Source organism: Homo sapiens, chromosome 5 (assembly GCF_000001405.40).
Source record: "Homo sapiens chromosome 5, GRCh38.p14 Primary Assembly".
NCBI classification, from domain to species: Eukaryota; Metazoa; Chordata; class Mammalia; order Primates; family Hominidae; genus Homo; species Homo sapiens.
The window spans coordinates 24590070-24611522 of record NC_000005.10 but is presented as its reverse complement, the minus strand read 5'-3'; the positions used below and the strand labels follow the sequence as shown (position 1 = coordinate 24611522).

At 33.9% G+C, this 21453-nt stretch overlaps 1 protein-coding gene across 5 annotated transcripts in view; it reads left to right on the top strand.

The window, feature by feature from the left end:
* CDH10 (cadherin 10) overlaps window positions 1–21453 on the top strand; it is a 157879-nt gene that overhangs the window by 33456 nt on the left and 102970 nt on the right. For 4 of the 5 annotated variants that reach the window (NM_001317222.2, NM_001362460.1, NM_001317224.2 and 1 more), the window contains exon 2: window positions 17910–18263. Coding sequence is in view for 4 of the 5 variants with exons in the window: in NM_001362460.1 (NP_001349389.1) it covers window positions 18033–18263 (231 nt within the window). In the remaining variant the exon portion in view is untranslated. Of the gene's footprint in view, window positions 1–383; window positions 441–17909; window positions 18264–21453 lie in introns of all 5 variants that reach the window. The other variant, XM_011513923.3, reaches the window with a different exon arrangement.

Sequence of the window (21453 nt, the reverse complement as noted above, 5' to 3'; positions counted from 1 at the left end):
TTTTTCGATATTTTACAAGTTATGAACAGTCTATTGTTTGAAGACAACATAATAAGGGAGACAGAGAAAGACTTTTCTTTTTTTAATTTTAATTTTATTTTTTAATAGAGATAGAGTCTCCCTGTGTTGTCCAGGCTGGTCTCAAACTCTTGGTGTCAAGCGATCCTCTCACCTCCCAAATTGTTAGGGTTACAGCCATGGAGCCCCCACATCAGGCCAAGACTTTAAAAAATCCCGGTTTAACCAGTTACAAGCTATATTATGTTAATCACATTACTTAATTCATCAGCATTGTTTGGTGTATCAATTAAAGGGGTGGATACTTAATATGGCCTAGTCATGGGCACCCCGTGAGGGAAGAATAACAATATATTATTTTCCAGGAACTTACTGAGCAACTGTCTCTACAGGGATCTGTGCTAAATGCTGGGTATAAAAAGGTAAGGAATAAATAGTCCTTTCCTGGAGCAACAAATAATATAAGATGAGAAACAATGTTTAAGCTATGCATAAATGTGTTTGGCGTGTAATAGCCACTCAGCAAATGATGGTACTAAAGAGGGATATTGTTCTTTTTCTGTTTTCTTTTACTAAATACTGATTGCTGAGCCTCACTACATATTGTACCTTGTAGCCTTCAGTGACTGCAAAGGAGCAATTGTTACAGTCTTAGGAGGACATCAGTTAAAGGTGCAGCTTCCCCACTTTCTCCAGCCCTAACCTGTTTACATTTTTCTAACTTCTTCACATCTCCAAACTGTCTTCCCTATCCCCTCAGTGCACATAGGTACAAGGCATTTAAAATCTTCTTGAGGATTTGAACTGAGAACAATAAAATGCCAAGGATGAGAATATTGCCAGGAAATATTTATTGATGTTAGTATGAAGATTTCACCAGAAATAAATTAAATCAATATATAATCTCTATATTCACAGATCATAATTCCATTCGGTAGAGCAGTTTAACATTGCCATTCAGAGGAAACCTAATGTTTTATTCATGTGTATTTTGAAATAGAGGCCAAACATTCATATTTATAATATGAAAAAAACACATTAATATTTAAATCTCTCTAAATTTAATCAAATACAATTAGCATAATGGAAGCAAAAATAAAGATAATCCTAGTCAATACAATTTTTAAATGTACTCTAAAATATTGTAACTAAGATTAAAAATTAAGTTTATATTTAAGAAGCTATTTAATGTTCTTTTCTACAGTCCAACACATGTATGTTTAGGATTCTTTGCCTCATTTTCCCGTTTATGTCATTAGGAATCTACTTCACAATATTTTAAAAATTAATTTAGCATTTGTGAAGGTACATTGCTAAGCAGTTGTCATGGAATAATTGGCAACATAAGAAAGTTTATTTTGCAGAACTGTCTCAGGATAAAATTAGGCCCTCCAAACAATGATCAACTAGCTAAATACCTCTCCTGTATGCGTAATAATATGGAGCGTTTCTGGGCCCAGGGCCTCCTTGCCATATGCGAGGGAGTGACTTTTACCGCGTTTCCCTCCCTGCTCTTCTACTCCGTACCTTGGCTTGCACGTTGTAATGGTGACCAGATGCTGTAGCGTGAATTCTGTGAATGGCAGGGGAAGACTTGGATGAACATCCGACAGGCAGTGAGCAGCACGATTAGTCATTCTGACGGGTGCCTGATCATCGATGCGAAGCCAGCTAGTGGGGAATTAGGAGAGTATCAGCAGTTGTGAGGATGACTCCAGCCAGGCCGGAAAAGGTATAGGAGAGATCTAAGAAGAAAGAGCAGAAATCAAAACATTGTGGGGAAACTTGCACAGCCTTGCACTGGTGGACACACAATCTCCTGAATTCCTCTGGGTCTCTGTTGTACAGTAGCTAGTCCTTCAATACACTTATACTGTAATCATTTAAGAAGCGTTCATTTTGATAGACACTTTCAGAGTTGTGCTGGCATCTGATGCAGTGTGGTTGTCTTAACATATTCTCATAGTGTCCTGTCATAATCTCCTGCTGAAGTCTGTTGTCCAAGGTTTCTTGTCTTTTCCTCCCTCCCTTCCAAATTGTGTTCTGTTACTCTGAGTCACATCTTCAGCGCACACTGGATTGTGTGGAGCTCTGTGAGGTTGTCCTCTTACTCATTTACCTAGACAGTTTCATCAACCATTTCTTACTTTCCACGCAGCCTGTGCTTCTTCTAACCTCCCCCCAACTATCGTTCCACCAAGCCTCAAGGATGTTGACTAGAGGCATGGAAGGGGAAAAAATCAACCAGGACTCAATAGCTTGACCCTCTTTGATGATCTGCATTCTATTTATTTCCCTGAGAGCCATTCTTCAGAATCCGTAATGGTTTCCCCCTTCCCAGTGGGATGGGAATTCTCCTACATTTTATTCTTAGTTTTGTCCATACTGAGGTTTTGAGTAAAGCTTTAAAAATTCAACAATTAGTGATTTTCAAGCACTGATTCTGCAAATCCACTGAAGAAAATACAATTTGAAACTCAGAACTATATAATCACACCTTTATTCTAATTCTATCCACACCCTTGGAGCTTTATATCCAAAGCCTCCAGCTCAAAGAATAATGTTAAGTTAATTGGGGTGCAGCTATGCATAATGTGTTATGGGAAATTTTTCAATGTACACATTTTAATAACTTTGAAATTGCAGCTTATTCATTTTATATTGCTAAGATATCTATTTCACCCTGACGAAATTTAAGCTTTCTTTAAACCAGTGCTCTTGTGCCATTATATCCTCATTATATAGCAAAGTATCTGGTTCATGTGAAGTATTAAACAATTGTTCATTAAACAAATTAATTAAGTGATGGGATGATTAAAAATTTTTAAATGTGTTTTCACTGAAACATTAGGATAATGTAATTTTTACTACTACTTTATATTTTGAAACCTTTTGTTAAAACATTCAGAATGTAGGCCAGGTGCGGTGGCTCACGCCTGTAATTCTGGCACTTTGGGAGGTCGAGACGGGCGGATCATGAGGTCAAGAGATTGAGACCATCCTGGCCAACATGGTGAAACCCCGTCTCTACTAAAAATACAAAAATTAGCTGGGCGTGGTGGTGCGCACCTCTAGTCCCAGTTACTCGGGAGGCTGAGTCAGGAGAATCGCTTGAACCCAGGAGCCAGAGGTTGCAGTGAGCCAAGATCGCGCCACTACACTCCAGCTTGGTGACAGAGTGAGACTCCATCTCAAAATAATAATAAAAAAAAACATTCAAAATGTAAATAAATTAAGCCACTAAGAAACAACACGTGTGTTGACAAATAGAATAAGAAAAGTCATAGAAGATGACTCGATTTGCCAACAGAAACTGTTACTGCTCCATATTCTGTCTCATTACCAGTGGTTTAAAATGGGATAATTCTGTCGGCAATCTTTTTTTAATATAAGAACATGGCTATACTACTGTTTAAAAATATGAAATATTATCTTACATACACTAGTGTTTTTCCTCCGAAGATTAATATTTCTAGCCAAGGATATTTCAGTAGCAAAGAATGAGGATTTGAACATTGTCAGGAAGGTCAAAATGGCTAGGTTGATGCTGTCAAATTAAACAAAAAATAGAGGGCCTGCTTTAAAATATAGAATTATCTATATAGCAATACTTAGTTAATAATGTTTAATCACCAGATAATCTCTCCTATTTATATTAGGCTAGGAGATAAAACATTTAAAATATTAATGAAACACTCACAAAAATGGTACATATTTGCTTTTTCCTCATTATGACAAAACTTTCATTGTGTGATCTGAGACAAAATGTCCTTGCTCTGTGAGTAATACATAATTTAATTTTTTGAGAAATCATTAATTTGACCTTTTCAGATAGAATTTTAAAAGTCATAAAAAACTAACGGACATCCCTAGACAATAAAGTGTATAATATAATACTTAAAATTCTAAGTCATATTGCTAAAATTTCTCTGGGATTTGCCAGGGATTGTTGTAAGCTTAGCGTATAAGTCATAAAAATATTTTTCCTTATTTATAATTTATGTCAGACTTTCTGTGTGAATAAAGTAGGAACAACAGACACCTGACGGTGGTTTTTTTAACTTTCCTTCTTATAAATAATGCGACTCTGTTAAGTTCATTTCCCTCGTTGGTTTCCCTAAAGTGTGCCTTTCCCTATTTTTGTTCTGTTCCATCATATACTTGTAAGTCTAAATCCCTTTGAGAGTAACTCTCCCACCCTTGTGCCTGTCTCCAAGGGAAAATGTAATCTTACTTCAGTCATCTAATTAGGACTAGGAGTCTCTGTGCTGCAGGCGTCGGCATCAACATGAGTCTGATGAGCCCGTGTGCTGACATCAATGAACACTTTATTAAATTACACACTCCCCTAAGCAGGCCCAGGCTTTCAGAGCCCTCATATTTTATGCACTGTTGCACTGACTCCCTGTTTGCTGAAGCTGAGGGTGTCCAGGCCAAGCTGAGGAAATAAAGTTCTGATGAGGTTATAGAGATTAAAAAAATATATATTTGACATGGTGTTAGGTGTTAGGCTTAGTCTGTTGTTTTGACAACTGATAACTAGCTAGAATCAAAGAATAACAGGAAACAAAATGGAACATTCAATTTAGGGCATCTTTTTATTTGAAACGCCAATGTCTCAGAGTAGAATAAAGAAACCATTGATCTAAATAACATTTTTAAATGAATGCTTTTTTCTGGATGCTGCATATTTAGATATATAATGGATATGTAGTAAGTTTTGCTTCCTGTGTAATTCATAAAATTACATACTCTTAAACGTTTAAACGTTTTCAATTATTAAAATAATATTTGATAACAAAAATACGATGAAGGTAAAAATCTTTTTTATACATTGCATTCATCCTTTTAAATAAAAGCCATCTTTTTTTTGTTTGTTTGTTCTTTGTTTTTGGAGACAGAGTCTCATTCTGTCACCCAGGCTGGAGTGCAGTGGTGTGATCTCGGCTCACTGCAACCTCCACCTCCCAGGTTGAAGCGATTCTCCTGCCTCAGCCTCTCAAGTAGCTGGGATTACAGGGACATGCCACCATGCCTGGCTAATTTTTGTATTTTTAGTAGAGACAAGCTTTCACCCTGTTGGCCAAGCTGGTCTCGAACTCCTGACCTCAAGTGATCCACCCACCTTGACCTCCCAAAGTGCTGGGATTACAGGTGTGAGCCACTGCGCCAGGCCTGTAATAGTCATCTTAGCAGGTGTTAGATGATAGCTCATTGTGATTTTGATTTGTATTTCCCTGATTAGTGATGCTGAGCATCATTTCATGCAACTTTGGGCCATTTGCAGGGAAGTAAAATTTACAGATAGTAAAATTCATCCTTTCTAGGGTAAAGTTCTATGAATTTTGATAAATGCCTACAGTTTTATAACTACCACTGTAGTCAACATGGAGAACATTTCCATCTCCCCAGGGAGTTACCTCTTGTCACTTTGTGGTGACTAGACATTAACCATCACCGATCTCTCTTGTATCCCTATACTTTTGCTTTTGCAAGAATGTCATATAAATAAAATCATACATTGTATATGATTTTGAGGCTGGCTTATTCTATTTAGCATAAAGCATTTGAGATTCATCCGTGTGTCAATTGATTCATCCATGTGTCAATTGTTGATTCCATTACATTAATAAGTAGTATGTCATTGTATGGATGCACCAAAGTTTGTTTACCCATTCACCCATTTGAGGACATTTGGGTTGTTCCCGATTGATGATTATAAATAAAGAAGATATAATCATTTGTAAAAAGTTTTATGTGAACAAATTTTCTTATTTTTCCTCAACAAGTACCTAGGGTAGGAATATTGTATCAAATGATTAGTACATATGTAACATCTTAAGAACCACAAATTTGTTTTCTAAAGTGTCTATGATATTTTGCATTCCCACCAGCAAGGTATGGAAGTTTCAATTACTCTATATCAGTGGTCTCCAACCTTTTTGGTGCCAACGACCCACTTCGTGGAAGACAGTTTTTCTATGGATGGGAGGAGGTGTTGGGGGAATCATTTCAGGATGACTGTTCCACCTCAGATTGTCAGGCAATCAGCCATGAGATTCTCATAAGGAGTGTGCAAACTGGATCCCTTGCCTGTGCAGTTCATAATAAAGTTCCTACTCCTATGAGAAGCTAATCCCCCCTCCCTCTACTGCTGATTGGATCTGACAGGAGGTGCAACTCAGGTGCTAATGCTTGGTCACAGGCTCCTCACCTCCTGCTGTGTGGCCCGGTTCCTAACAGGTCATAGACCTATACTATATCCCTGCTCTATATCCTTTCCAACACTTGGTAATGTCTTCTTAAAATGTTATTTTAGCTATTTTAATTTAATGTAGTGGTGTGCATTGCGGTCTTCATTTTCAAATTTTTGTTCCATACGGATGAATGATGTTGAGCAAGTCTTTATATGCTTATTTTCCATCTATATATTTTCTTTGCTAAAGATGTCTGTTCAAGTTCTTTGCCTGTTTTCAATTGGGTTATTTGTTTTCATTTATGGAGATTTGGCAATTCTTTATACAGTATGAAAAAAGACTTTATCAGAGACACATTTTCAATTATTTTCTAAGAGTTTTTGACTTTCTTTTGTTTGTTTGTTTGTTTTTGTTTTTTTTTTTTTTTTTTTTTTTTAGAGACATCTTGCTCTTGTTCCCCAGGTTTGACTGCAATGGCTTGACCTCGGCTCACTGCAACCTCCGCCTCCCGGCTTCAAACGATTCTTCTGCCCCTGCCTCCCAAGTAGCTGGGATTAAGGCACCTGCCACCACGCCCAGCTAATTTTTGTATTTTTTAGTAGATATGGGGTTTCACCGTGTTGGTTAGGCTGGTCTTGAACTCCTGACTTCAGGTGATCTGCCGGCCTCAGCCTCCCAAAGTGCTGGGATTACAGGTGTGAGCCATCGTGCCCAGCCAAGAGTTTCTAACTTATCTTTCATTTTATTGTGTCTTTGAAGAGACTTTTGCTTTTAATTTTCATCAAATGCAATTTGTCAGTTTTTTTCTTTTATGTGTCATGATTTAGGTATCATCTCAAAGAAATCTTTACCAATTACAAAAGACAAAAGTTTCAGCGTAGTGATCTTGCATATATTTTGTTTAATTTCTACCCAATTTTATTGCACATTGGTAAATTTTTTTTATTGTATTGTATTTTTAGAGACAGAATTTTGCTTCGTCACCCAGGCTGGAGGGCAATTACATGATTATAGCTCACTGCAGTTGTGAACTTCTGGGCTCAAGCAATCCTCCCACATCAATCTCCAGAGTAGCTACTACAGGCCTGTGCCACTACATGTGGCTAATTTTTAAATTTTTTTGTAGATATGGGGTCTCACTATGTTGCACAGGCTGGTCTTGAACTCCTGGCCTCAAGTAGTCCTCCTGCCTCTGCCTCCCAAAGGGTTTCGAATACAGGAGTGAGCCACATGCCAGACATTTTTAATTTTTATTTTTATTTCAATCTAGAAGTATTAATTGTTTTTATGTAAAACTTTAATTGTTTTGTTTGATCGTATATTCTTGTCAACTTACTGGACTCATTGATTAGATTGGTAGCTTTTAATGTAACTTCTCTGGGATGTTCCATGTTCAGGATCATGCCATTTGCAAATAGACACAGTTTTATTTTTTCCTTTTCAATATGTATGATTTCCATTTCTTTTTTCTTTGCCTCACTGCTTTGGCTAGGACAACCAGTTTAAAGTTGAATACAAGTGGTAAAAGTAGGTATCTTATCTACACTTTGTTCCGGAATATACGGGGGAAACGTTAGCATTTTTTTTTTCCAGCAAGTATGCTAGTTGTAGGATTTTATGGGTCTGCTATATAAGACTTGAGGAAGTTAGTTTCAGTCATACTTTATGGAGAATTTTTATCATGAAGGATGTCAGATTTTGTCTAATGTTTTTTCTTCATCTATTGAAATGGTCATAGTTTTAAAAAATCTGTTGATATGACAGTTACAACAATGATTGGCATTTGAATGTTGAGCCAACATTATACTAAGGTGAAGTCATGATGTATTATATGTTTTACATATTGCTTCCACTTGCTAATATTTTGGTGAAGATTTGTGTATCTGTCTTCACAAAGGTTGTTTTTCAATTTTGTTTTGTTGTTGATATTCTCCTCTTTGTAATGTTTTATCGTTTTGGTGTCAGAGTAATGATACATACATAAAATGTGTTGGGAAGTGTTTTTTATTCTTTATATTCTACATATATAGTACCTGTTTGGATTGTGTTAGACTCCAAAGAGAAAATGTGCAGATTGAATTGAATGGTCTTTACAACTAAAGCTGATGAAGGCAGAAACTGACACCAGTAGTTATACAGAGACTTGTACTTCCTTATCATGTTGTGTTCTTTGTTCCTCTTGATATATCACAGCTGTTTCACTTCTACCCTAGTGGCTGTCTGATTCCTCTTATTTAAAAAATTGAAATCTTCTAGTTTTTAGAGTTTCATTATCAGACAAAGCCACTGTAATCCCAAGATAAGTTATTAAAATGATCAATAGATTGTCTTGAAAAAGGTGAATAAACATTTTAGAAAAGAAATCAGGATAGCGAATGTATTCAGGAAGCATGTATTCTAGAAAATTAGGCCTTGAGACATATTCTTCCCTTATGACTCCATATTTTTATTCCATAGCTGAGTTAGGGGAGTAAGAAAGTGAGAAGACTCACTCTAAATAAACTATTTTTTCCTTAATCTCTTTCCCATCTTCTTATCTCTAGCATCTACTACTGCACATTCCTAGATTGTGGTAGGAGACAGGAGAGTAAGTTAAAATAAACTCAAAAAGAAATTTTTTCTTTGATTAACTCAGTCCATTAAAGGTCATTAAGGGAACATACACATATACACATATACACACACATGCAATGCAATGCAATAATACATTTTCCCAAGTTGCAGAATGTCTAATTGGGGAAATAGGTAAAAAGTGCTGTAACATCACGTAGTAAGTATCACCATGCACAAATTCAGGAAATATCATTTAAACACAGAGCGGGTATACACAAAAGGTATACCAGCTATCCAAGGAAGACAGGAAATGCTGAGCAGCACTCTGCTTGACCTACTATTTTGCAATTAAACTGAATGAATGGCAGTTTACAGATTGTGGCTTAATGGTCCAGAATTTAGATGTACTGCTTTGTTTCTGGCAGTGATCTTAGCCCACTAAATACTTGCTGAAATGATAAATCTCTCTGGTTCCCACAGTAATTGTGACTGAATATAGATCAAATATATAATTGGTGCAAGGACTAATGTATAATCTCTTGTAATGTCTGAAAGCTTACAAATTTCACTGCCTTTAATAAGTGTGAATTTTTGTTGTAGTGATTAGTTTAGTATTATACTGGATTTGTGCACCAAATTATTCACTGAATCAGACTTATGAACTCTAGTACTTTCTAATGGTTAAACATATTTAAAAGTAATGATTTCACCAGTAGTGTGCACTACAAAAAAAGTCAGACATACATACACAAAAACCAAAATTTGTTAAAGTGGGTGGTCATAAAACCTACTGCATGAAAAACTGCAAACTGTGATTTAGTTGGAATTGCAAGAGTAGTAGCAGGGGATGATAATGGTAGGGTTAGGGTCAGGGTGTGAATGTAATGAGTGTTGGAGAAGAAACCACTTAATGTGTCCACACTTTTAAAGGTAATTTTTAAAATATCTTTTTATCAACTAATTTACGACTTTAACCCATTCAAGCTTTCCTTCCACTGGCACAATTCTTAAAAAAAGAAAAAAAAATAGCTATTGAATCTTTATTCTCAAGGGCATTTGAATAGCAAATTTATACTTAAAATTCAACATATCAATGATATGTTTGCAATCAAAGCAATCTGTGGAATTTAGATATCCCACACATTTTTAAATGTTTTGAACTAGTATTCTTTTCTTGGACCCTTATTTTGTGTGTCTAAGTACATTCATGGTCTGTAGTTCATACGCTTCCAACTCCCAGTGGGTCTGTCTTATCTGTGTTCAGCAAACTGGAAGCTAGCTGGGATGTCTCCTAGATAAGGACATTAGCATGTAAATTTTAATCATAGTAACATCTATTCATTACTAAATTATGTAGGAGATTTCAGAACAGTGTAAAGGGAATCTGGTGACCCAAGTTATATTTCTGGTTATGACACTAACTGTTTGAGACTGAGCAAATCACATAACATTACTCTTAAACTGTTTCCTTATCTGTCATATTAACCCATGGGAGAAAAATTTGATTTCCAAAGCTGGATACAAAAGTCCATGATGATATGTTTGCTGCTAAGGACATGGTTGACTTTTCCATTAAGCCCAGTAGGCACCCAGCTGAGTGCCCATGATACTTTTGGAGGCCCATGAAAATGATTTAATTTATTTTAAAATAAAAAACTGAACTTTTAGATGAAAGAAAATTATCTAACATATAATATTAATATATGGCTCTTTGCTTAAATGCAGTTGTAAAATGTATTTTCTTTCTTCTTTTATTTTTTTAAGAAAAAAAAAGCCACATATACAAACTGCCTAGGGCCCATCAAAGACATAACCCAACACTGTCTACAGTAGAAAAAATTGTGGCTAAAGGATTAGCTGCTTTGAACTCCACATTGTATCAGACCTAGACCTAAATCTGTTTTTGAACTTAGTCACCTTAGAAGTGTCATGCAAAATAATTTTATTTCCTTAATGTATATATTTCTTTTCCCCCCTGAGCTTTGCACATTCTTTCCTTTTCTTATAACCCATTACATACCTATGACCCATTATGTCAATTCATGAAACGCACTTTCTCTCTTGTGTTGCCACAACTCATTTTAACTCCTGTCCTTGTTTGCAAACACGTACATCTGCATGCATGTACAGAACACACACACACACACACGCACGCACGCACACCGACGCTCTGCTCTTTCATTTGTGCCAGGTAGGATGTGGTTTCCTCCAAAAAGATTTCTCAGACCACCCGTGTTTGGATTAGGTGCTCTTTTCATGGATTCCCATTGTTAATTCTTGGATTGTGAGAACCACTTCAATTTTGTTTACATTTTACAGATTCCACACAACAGAATTCATGGCTCCATTGAGATAGAGCTTCATAGACATTGCTGAAGGAATAATTCTCAGCATCAATGACCCTATTTATAGAAAGAAAATCCCAAACATGCTCTGTTGAGATGTGAAGAAAAAAACACAATGATTTCTTCAATAACTGGTTCACTGAGGTGTTCACTGTATTATAGCTCAATAATTGAAGGATTTACACAACTAATAACATGTTTCGGATTCTATATTCTATATTTTGGGATTGATCCCTTTAAGAATCAAAAAATGGATATTAGAAAATGAGGAATAAGTCTTGTATTGTCTTTTTTGATAAGTTGAAAACTACAATGTAAGTACAATTTAGAATTGAGTCAGGCATTTGAAAAAATAAAGAATTAATTACAATCTGGCCCCTTTCTGCCCTCAGGAAAATGAAATTTAACTAATGGAACATTATTCCAATTTTATATTTCAGCTACACATGCATAATTTAGGAGATAATCCTTTTTTTATAAAATGGGACTACACATAGAGATAAGACGGGCCATCTAAAAGTGGGTTTTTAGTATTGTGCAAATATTAAACCATAATTAGAGTCAAAAATTAGTGCTGATAAGTTTTTTTCTGCTTCTTATTCTTAACCTTGACTATCTCACAAATACGTGCCACAAAGATTTGTCTTATGATTCCTGTGCTTATCCTTGCGTAAAGATCTATATTTATGCATTTAAGTAGATTGTTAATGGCCAGTCTTATATCTCCATGTTTATACTTTTGATTGCTTTTCACCAATGAGTGTCATGTATGTTTTTGCACCTTCAGGTATAACAGCAGAAACATATTTTGCAGAACAGTTTATGCCAGTCTGATGCATGTTCTACACATTCTCATAGTTGAACACACTAAAGTGCATAGTAAGTTAGTTTACACACCATTCATTAGTACATGCACAAATGGTTTTCTTAGAAGTAACTTAGAAGAAAAATAATCTTTAATGGATTCTTTCTCCAAGCTGTGGCTCTTTTTCTTGATGTCCTAATAATAATGAATTAAGTGAACAATGACAAACCATCTTGGGAAGGAAATCCTAATAATCTCCCAAACTCTCTCTTCCTATCTCTTCACTCATTGTTTTACAGAAGCAGTTCAAGTCCTGGATCAAAGAAAACTGGGTACCAGATGGCTTTTATACGAACATCTTTAAGTAACCCTCAGAGCATTCTTGCTACCATTCTCCACATAATGAAATAAATCCTAGCTACAGTAAAATGAGACTTTCAGGAGGCAGCAGGTGCAATGTCACATCTGTATTAGCACTGCTAACTTGCTTGTGGATCAAGTTACATTTGGGACTGTCACATTTGCTGCTGAGTTAAAAAGGTTGCTCAGAGAGTAGCAAGAACTCTTGGATGCTATTCTTTAGCCTATTAGCAGGGATCTTAGAGATAATGGCCACATGAAGTTATGTGCCTCATTCAACAATCCTCTTTATCCCTGCCATATGTTTTATCTACCCACTGACCCCAAATTTATATGGTTGATATCTGGTTTTGCAAATTATCACATAAAGATGTTAGCACGTAGTATAGCTGGAGAAGTGTATTACCAGTTTGTGTGCAGGTCACATTCCTAGAGAATAAAACTAATTTCAAACGGTTTTGCTTGAAGGAGATAATTTTAGTCTCAAAAGAATAGCAAGGACCAGAGCTTCTTGGGATTCTTTCTGCATTGATAACAATCCTAGCAATGGTTGATAACTTATCTAAGACTACCAAACCTTTGTGTTGTATATTTCATTCAACAGTGATATATTGATTGCCTTTTTGGTTAATGTCTTATGTGAGTTCTGTCATGTTAAATACAAATAAGATATAGGCATAAAATGGTCCACCTTTTTTTTTTTTTTAGGAACAACAAAGCAAGTTTCTTTCGTATTGAAATGTTTTACAAATAATTATAATATTCAATCCAATTTAAAAATACTTGTTTAACACTTTGCATTATTCTCTATATTGCTAGCTTTGCATGGACGACATAAAACCCTGCCTCAAACTTACAGTCTAAATAGAAATACATATGCAGAATACTTAAAACAGAGTGATAAATATTCAATGTAGAATTATACATTTTCTATGACAATAGAGCACAGTAGGTAATGTGTAATGAACTCTTGGATAATATGATCAAGCATATGGACTCATATTATTTGAGTCCTTAGTGTAATGCTTTGATTCAATTATCTCACATGGTGCTTTAGACTAGATGCATAAAATGGTATCAGCTGAATAAAAAGGAAGTATTTAGTATGCATTTAGTATGCACTGACTCATTTTAATTGTATAAACACATCTGAAAAATTTTCCTTTATTTTTCAGTGTTGAAATGTTATTAGACTGTATTTGGTCTATGAAACTTTAAAAGGATTAAAATTATCCATCTCTAGGGACTTTTATATCTATAATCTTTAGCATTTTCGATTACTCTTATAAATAATATATATATTTTTAAAAGCTGGTACATTAGGATCCTAATCAACATAATAAATTGACTGAAGAAGGACTAATTCCTTTTATTAGCCAAGAATAGATTGTAGCTTAATTGATCATCTGTGATGTGTGGAGACTTAATTAGTAATTGAGATGTGCCAAAATGCCCATTATATTATATTCTGTGATCTGCTGTTCTTGGCTGCCTATATAATAAAATTAACAGGTTATAGAGAAAATAATATTTGTGATAAGTATTTCAGAAGAATAATGAAAGTCCTGTAATTGTAAAAATGAAATGAGACCCAGTGAGACAAATGCTTTAAAATGAACATATAAAGAAAAACATAGTTGACAGCATGATTAAGAGAAAAATTGCTATCCTATCTACTGTAGCTTGAAGCAAACAAACTCCTCTGGTTAAAAAAACGTGGAAAAAGGCCTTAGAGTACTTAGAAATAATGTTTTGATCTTCTGACTGCAGTCGCCATATAGCTTATATTCCCCTCATTGTAGTAGGCTACGTATCTGGGGGCTGAAGCACTAAATAGGAAAAAGTTATAAAAACATTCTGAGGTTGATTTGAGGTCTGAGGGAGGTCTACAGCTTTGCCAGTCAAAGCACATGGTCCGCCTGCATTGGCATTATAGGTGAACATATTAGAAATGTTGCATCTTATGCCCCACACCAGACCCACTGAATGAGAACATAGATATCTAACAAGTGACCCAGGAGTTGTGAATATATATTAAAAGTGGAGGAGCACTGGTCTAAAGGAAATATGGGATTGCAGAATGGCTGAAGGATGTTTTAATAATTCTTAAAGTTCATAGGATATTCATATTAAATTATTTTTGATATTAAAATAAAGAAATGTAGTTTTGAAAATATTTTCCAAAAATAAAATTAACTGGGACTGAAATTATAGAATTTCATTAATTTTAGCATTTTTAGTCAGAGAGGTAGTTTAATAATAGTTTCAACCCACCTGATTCCTTTTCATTATAATTCTGTTAATAATTTCAAGCAAGCACAACAGCTCCCTTATGTAATATTTTTATATCCTAAAATTTAGCTTTTATTTCTCATCATAAATAGTCCAACATATTTAGAGAGGCTTTTATAAATATCAGTTAATTAAAGAGACATATACTGATACATCTGTATATACCACTTTTTACTATTGAGGAAAATTCAATACGTTTCAAATCACCTGGATATTATTCAGAATTGTCTATTAGTGGGGAGATAGTTTATACATATAAGAAGTTACATATCAGGGTTGAAATTAAAACAACTAGAAATATTACAAAATGATGTTTTAAAAATTATCTGGTTTCGGATATTGAAATGAAATATAAAGTTTTGATGTTAATCTTCCCAGTGGTAGACATGTTCAAAAATTTTAATTGATTTGAGCCTTGGAGAAGTGGGCTTCAGAAAATTAATTTAGCTAACACCCTGTAGGATATATTTTAAATAAGAAAGATTGAGGTTAAGGAAAACGGCCGTTAGTAGTTATTGTATGCTGTTTGCATGAAATGATAATCGTTTAAAATAGTGTGATGACACACTGACAAAAAAAAAAGACAGCTGAGAGCCATAGGGTGGAAAAAGCAGCAAAGCAATGCATTGACTGACCATGTAAAAGGTACACTTGGCTAAATGGAAATGCCAAAGATATTCTGTAATTTGGGTTAGGTTACTGGAAGGATGATTATTAGTGATATTTATACTAAAGTCACAATGTTTTGAAATATCTAATATGTAGGCTCCTAGTTACTTAGAACATAACTAGGAAGAACTAACTGCAGAGAAATTAAATGTTAGATTTGTTTCATATAATTTTCTATTTTTATTTAACCGTGTCATTGTTCAAAATGTTTTTGTCAAATACTGTAGTCTTTATGTAAAATGTATTTTATATACTTTCTAATTATCTTGCATCAGTATTAAATAATGCATTTTACTGGGGATTCTTCAGGACATTTATCATTAAATAATTGAAACTAGAACAATAACAAAGGAAATGATCTCATGCATGTGGGGTCCAATTATTCAATAGCAACTTTTATAGCTATAGTCCCCACCTACTCTTTTCCAAAACATTGGTGAGTAGGCTTTTCACACTAGGGAAGGTTATAACTGTATTGAAAATGATCACCAATGCATCATAGAATTGCTGACAATTTTTAAAAATGTAAAAAGAGATGAAATGAGAATGACTGTTTCTTCAATAGGTTTTAAAGCTTTTGTAGAAGAAAGCAGAAACCCTCACTTACACAAACTCTCCCCTGCCTCTTGGGAATAGAGTACATTTCTGGAGAATACTGTCTGGCACATCCTAATACATATAAAAGCCACTATTTTGGTAAATGTTCCTATTACTTAGAATCCAATCAATTTGAGTTCCAGTGCTTTGTGATGTAAGACCATTTTATGCATCAGATAATTTCTAAACTCCAAGTAGAGTATTACATGACATATTGAAATACAATTTCCATCTATCATGCTGTACGTCTTCAGGCATTGTGGACGACTCCACTGTCATTTAATACACTCAAGGGAGGCACTGCTTCACTATTAATCTTATTTCTTTGAAACATTTATATTAACTTTTAAATCTTCTTAATAATGAAACAAAAAGTAAAGAGATTGCTAACAAATTACTGTGGATGTAAGCATAAATGTAAAAGCAGGAGTACTTATAATGCATTGCCATATTAGAGAAGTGAAACTCAATCCTTTTGGTTCTCAAATCACTTTCTATAACACATACTTTATTATATCCTGAAATAAAATCCATACATATTAGGAAACAAAAGACAATAGACACACACACACACACACAAAACAAAATAAGTATGTTCACAATATTATAAGTGAAGAATAATATAAAAATTACTGTAATTCAAAAATATATATCTCTATACATAAATGCTTGGGCACAAAAACATATAGCAGGTAATGGTAGTCAAATATTTGCATTGACTTGCAATTCATTCATTCATTTACTCATACATTCAAACTGTTTATTGAACATCTATTATAGACAAGATTCTTTTTTATACACTGTGATACAGTGATGAAGAAAAGAGTAAAATTATCTTCCTACATGGGATTGTAGAAGAAAAACAGAATATGTACACAATAAATAAATAAATAAATAAAATACATGGAGTATACTGGAATATATGAAATGTCAGGGGTGGTTTTAAAGAAAGACCTGAAGGAAACAGAGGATCTAGCTAAGTGAACATCTACAGGAAAATCATTCTAGGCACAGAGAACAAGTAGGAAGTTGCTGGTTAAGGAAGGGAGCATGTAAAATGTATTGCATGGTGAAGCAAGAAGGACCCTGTGGCTGGAGAAGAGTCAGTTTAGGGGGATGTGGTGGAGGGTTAAAGTGAAACATGGTCAGAGAGGTGGACAGCAGTGATGAAATTGAGTGCAGTATTATTGGACAGATTTTGGTTTCCATCACAGTGGGATAAGAAACCACTGGAGTGTTTTGTGGAAAAAAAAATGACATGATCTGACTTAAATTTTAATGGATTTCTAAGGAAATTTTGTTGAGAAAATAGTGGCACGGAGGGTGTAGAGAACAGTCAGTAGGCTGTTACCATAGTCAGCCTGGGGTATAGTGGAGTTCTGGACCAGGCAGTAGAGGTAGTTAGAAGCAGATTATCTGCTGGATTTAATTATATTACAAATTGGTTCACTGTAGTAGTGATTACTTTCTACTCAAGGAAACTCTAGGTGTTCCCCAGGCTAACCTAACAGGGAAGAGAGGAGAGCACTTCAAAGGAAGGCATTCCTAGTTTTCTCATTTGTTTTGTTTTGTTTTGTTTTGTTTGTGCCTTTACTTTTACCTCTGAGTAGGATTAAATTTGAAGAAATGATGCTGCTGTTTAAAAACATTAAAATATAAAATTGCACAACAGAAGGCGTGATTCCTGTAGGTTATTTAAATCAGTTTTGTTTTCAAAATTATAATTTGCATTAAATTACTCTGAAAAAATTGACATGCAGAATGAACTATATCTCCTGTGTATATAGCAATGTAATTACTAAAAACTGTTAAAGTGCCAAAAGAAAAAAAAGCCTAATAATGTCCTTTCTTTAGAATTTGGTGGAAATAAACATTTACAATTATATTTTTGTACATTGTAGACATATTGCTAGACAAGTAATATTTCTCAAAGCTATCCGTTATTGTATGAAAAATAAAGAAAATGAATGTTTTGGTTGTTATTAATAAACTATTGTCACTTTAAATTTTAAATGAAAAGTAATAATGATAATGTTGTCAACTAACTTTTTTTGTTTGTTTGTTTGTTTGAAGCTTTGGGAAACATGAACAAAACATTGATGAAATGTTGGAAACCAGTTGAAACACAGTAAAACCAACTGGGTAAAATAGGACCACTTCTCTTCATCTACACTGGGATTTGTCAAGAAGTGAACTATGACAATACATCAATTTTTGCTACTGTTTCTATTCTGGGTATGCCTGCCACATTTCTGCTCTCCAGAAATAATGTTCAGAAGGACGCCTGTGCCACAGCAAAGAATTTTAAGTTCACGTGTACCAAGGAGTGATGGCAAAATTCTCCATCGTCAAAAACGTGGTTGGATGTGGAATCAATTTTTCTTACTTGAAGAATATACAGGATCTGATTATCAGTACGTAGGCAAGGTAAGCTTGTGTTAAAATGGCACGTGTTTATATTTGCTCTTTATATATTTTACTGATGAAAATTTGAAGGTCATCAAACCATCATTTTTATAAATCTGATTCTTTAAATCTCCCTAAAGGATTTTTGTTTATGGAACACGAATTCCAATTTGATAAAAACTGTGGAATGAATATAAAATGATAAATGCATAAATTTATTTATTAGAATTAATTCTGCCCAATAACTTATGGATTAAAGAGGTACTCAAAACTGCAATTTTAGAATTTATGGTTAGAAAGCAATGATAGTGAGAAACCTATATGTAAATACAGTCATTTAAATGAAAATACATATGTGTATATATATATATATATATTTCACATTGCTATTGAGTTCAGTGAGGAAGCAAAAACATTTCAAAGTTGTTTAATCTTCTACAGAACGAGAAAGCAAATGTCATCAAAATATGATTCAAGGACAAAAATGTTGCTTATTATAAGAAAATTTATTCTAGGTATGAATGTTATTTATTTTTCTTAGGTCACACTATGGGTGCATTTGTATAAAGAAAAACGAATAGGAAGAAAAGCAAGTAAAAATAGTTTAGCTACTGCAATATGAGGTGGACAGGAAGAGTTTTCATTCTACAGAATTATAAAGTTAGTGAGGATAATTAGTTGTGGTTGGAAATGAAATGAGAAGCTTAACATAAAAGTACTAATGAATGCTTTTACACACTATGTTGTATTCAGTTCAAATTTTCTTTCTTGACGCTATCTGAATCTAATTGAAGTTAGATAAAGGCTTAGTTGACTTGAGAGCTTACAAAAAAATTCATTTTAATAGTCAATATTATTATTTTTATAGATTGTGAGACTATGTCATAGGAATAAAAGGAAATTAAGTAGACTAACATAAATCACATGTTAACACTACACAATTATCATGCATACATCACTGCCTTGACAATTCTTGCATTAACCTTAACTATAATATCTTCATTCAAATAATTAAAATTGTGTGAAAGATTTTTTCTTCTAAAAACCCTGTTTTTGAGACAACATTTTCAGTGATTTTAAAACACTGATATGTTTTGTCATATTGCACTCATTTCAGACCTTTTAAAATATCTGGTAAAATGAGAAAGATGATATTAAAGGTTAAATATCATGTTGACTAGAAAGAAAAGGAAAAGAAACAGCAACCAAAGGAATCTTACCAGAAAGCACAAAGTAGCAGGCTTTTCATAGATCTTATTGATTTAAAGCCTGGGAATAGAGAGTGAAGGTTGCTCTCATAGACAACTTTTAGTTTATGAAACTAACTGCTTAGAAAGATAATAACTGAAATCTGGGCTGTAGAAACTAGTACATAGCAGTTAGCTTGTTTGCATCTATTTCCCTTCATCTAGTACTTTATGATGATCTAATAAATGTTGGTAAATTGAATTATCATTACATTATATACTCTCATAGTCAAGCTACTTCTTATTTTTTATTTTTATCTCATAAAATATCAACACCTTGAAATCAAGAACTGTACTTCATATCTCTTAGAGTAGTAAGAGAGTATTAAGCTCTTAGAGTAGATCTTAATAACTATTTAGCTGACTGAATCAACCTGAGTCATATTAAATTGAATTCCCTCTGCCATCTGGTGGCATTTGGCTCTTTGGCAGAGAAGACTAGTCTAGAAGTTGTAATCACTGAAGACAATTAAGTTGGTAAACTTAATATATATGCATCTTGATATACAACTCAAATTTTATGCTTCATACTCTGCTTTATGAAAACAAATTAGAAAACTCTTTAATGAGTGTTGGTGTAAGGAATTTATGAATGTGTTCATCAGTTCTTTTCCATGTAGACTGTGCTGAACTACTAGAGTTAACAGAAATGATTTAGGTGTTGTAACTCTCACACTTCTCTGAGTCTGCTTTTAATGGCCAGAGTGTCTAGATTTTAGCTCACATTTCAATCAATTTTGTAGTTTCTGTGGTTTATTCATGTCATAATCTGTGAAATAGATGCTTTAACATTTTTTGTCTATACTATACTATTGTATTAATTGCCTTATTATTTGTATTACATTAATTACTTATACAATTACAATCTTATTTAAGAGATAAACATACACATGATATGACAAAAAGGCAATGTTTAACATATGATATTTTAATAAACAAACATTACAATAAATATAACTTGAGGCTAAAATATATTTTCCTCATGAAGTATAAAAAACTTAAAATCCCCCACATATTCTCTCCATCATTATTTATAAGGAATTTATCACAGTCATATTTTCTTTCAGAAATTATTCCGGTTTTTACATCCTTTAAAGTAGACATGTGATATGGTGATAAGTGTTTCAATGCCTCTGGGTTGGTTTAGATGTCGGAGTAATATGTGTTCCAATCACTAGACATATGGAAACATGGTGACAGGTATCTCTCTGTAGTGGGGAATATTTTGGGAGCTCACAAAGCACTCTCCCACTAGCAATGGAGAGACTTACACTGGTTTGATGAGGACAAGACTAAAAAGCACCTGTGTGGAGCAGAAGAAAAAATTTTTTAAATACCTAAACAATTAGCTAACCAGACCCTAGGAAGAATTGATGCCTATAATTTCTCAGATAGAAACCCATTACTGCTATGTGGTTAAAGCAAAACGAAAATCCCATTACTGCTCATTGGGTTAAAGTAGAGAGGAGCTTAAGAAAACATACAACTGTCAATCAGAAAACCTAGAATGTGACATTGTTTTTGCCACTGTTTCTCTCCCCTTGGTTTATCAACTTCTCTTGGCCTTCATTTTCTTATCCATGAAATCAAAGGTCATGATTATAGTGTATTATATACACTAATACACTAACATAATATATACTATATATAGATACTAAATAATTTCTATTATTGTACTCACTTCTAATAATATTACATTATAAATATAAATTATATGTGTATTTAAAAACTCATTTAGAAAAAAAAAATTAAGAGGAGGAGAGAGAAAGGGAACGGAGAGTAATAAAGCCCATTGGCTAATTGTCACTGCCACCACTCCTTTTGTTTTGTAAGAAACAAAGTCAACCATGCTCAATTCAAAACATTTATTTGTTGAGATCGCCATAAATAGAAGCATTTTCCTGTAAATCATTCTGTTAAATGCATTCTAAACAAAAATATATTTAGTGTAAGAGCTTTCTTTT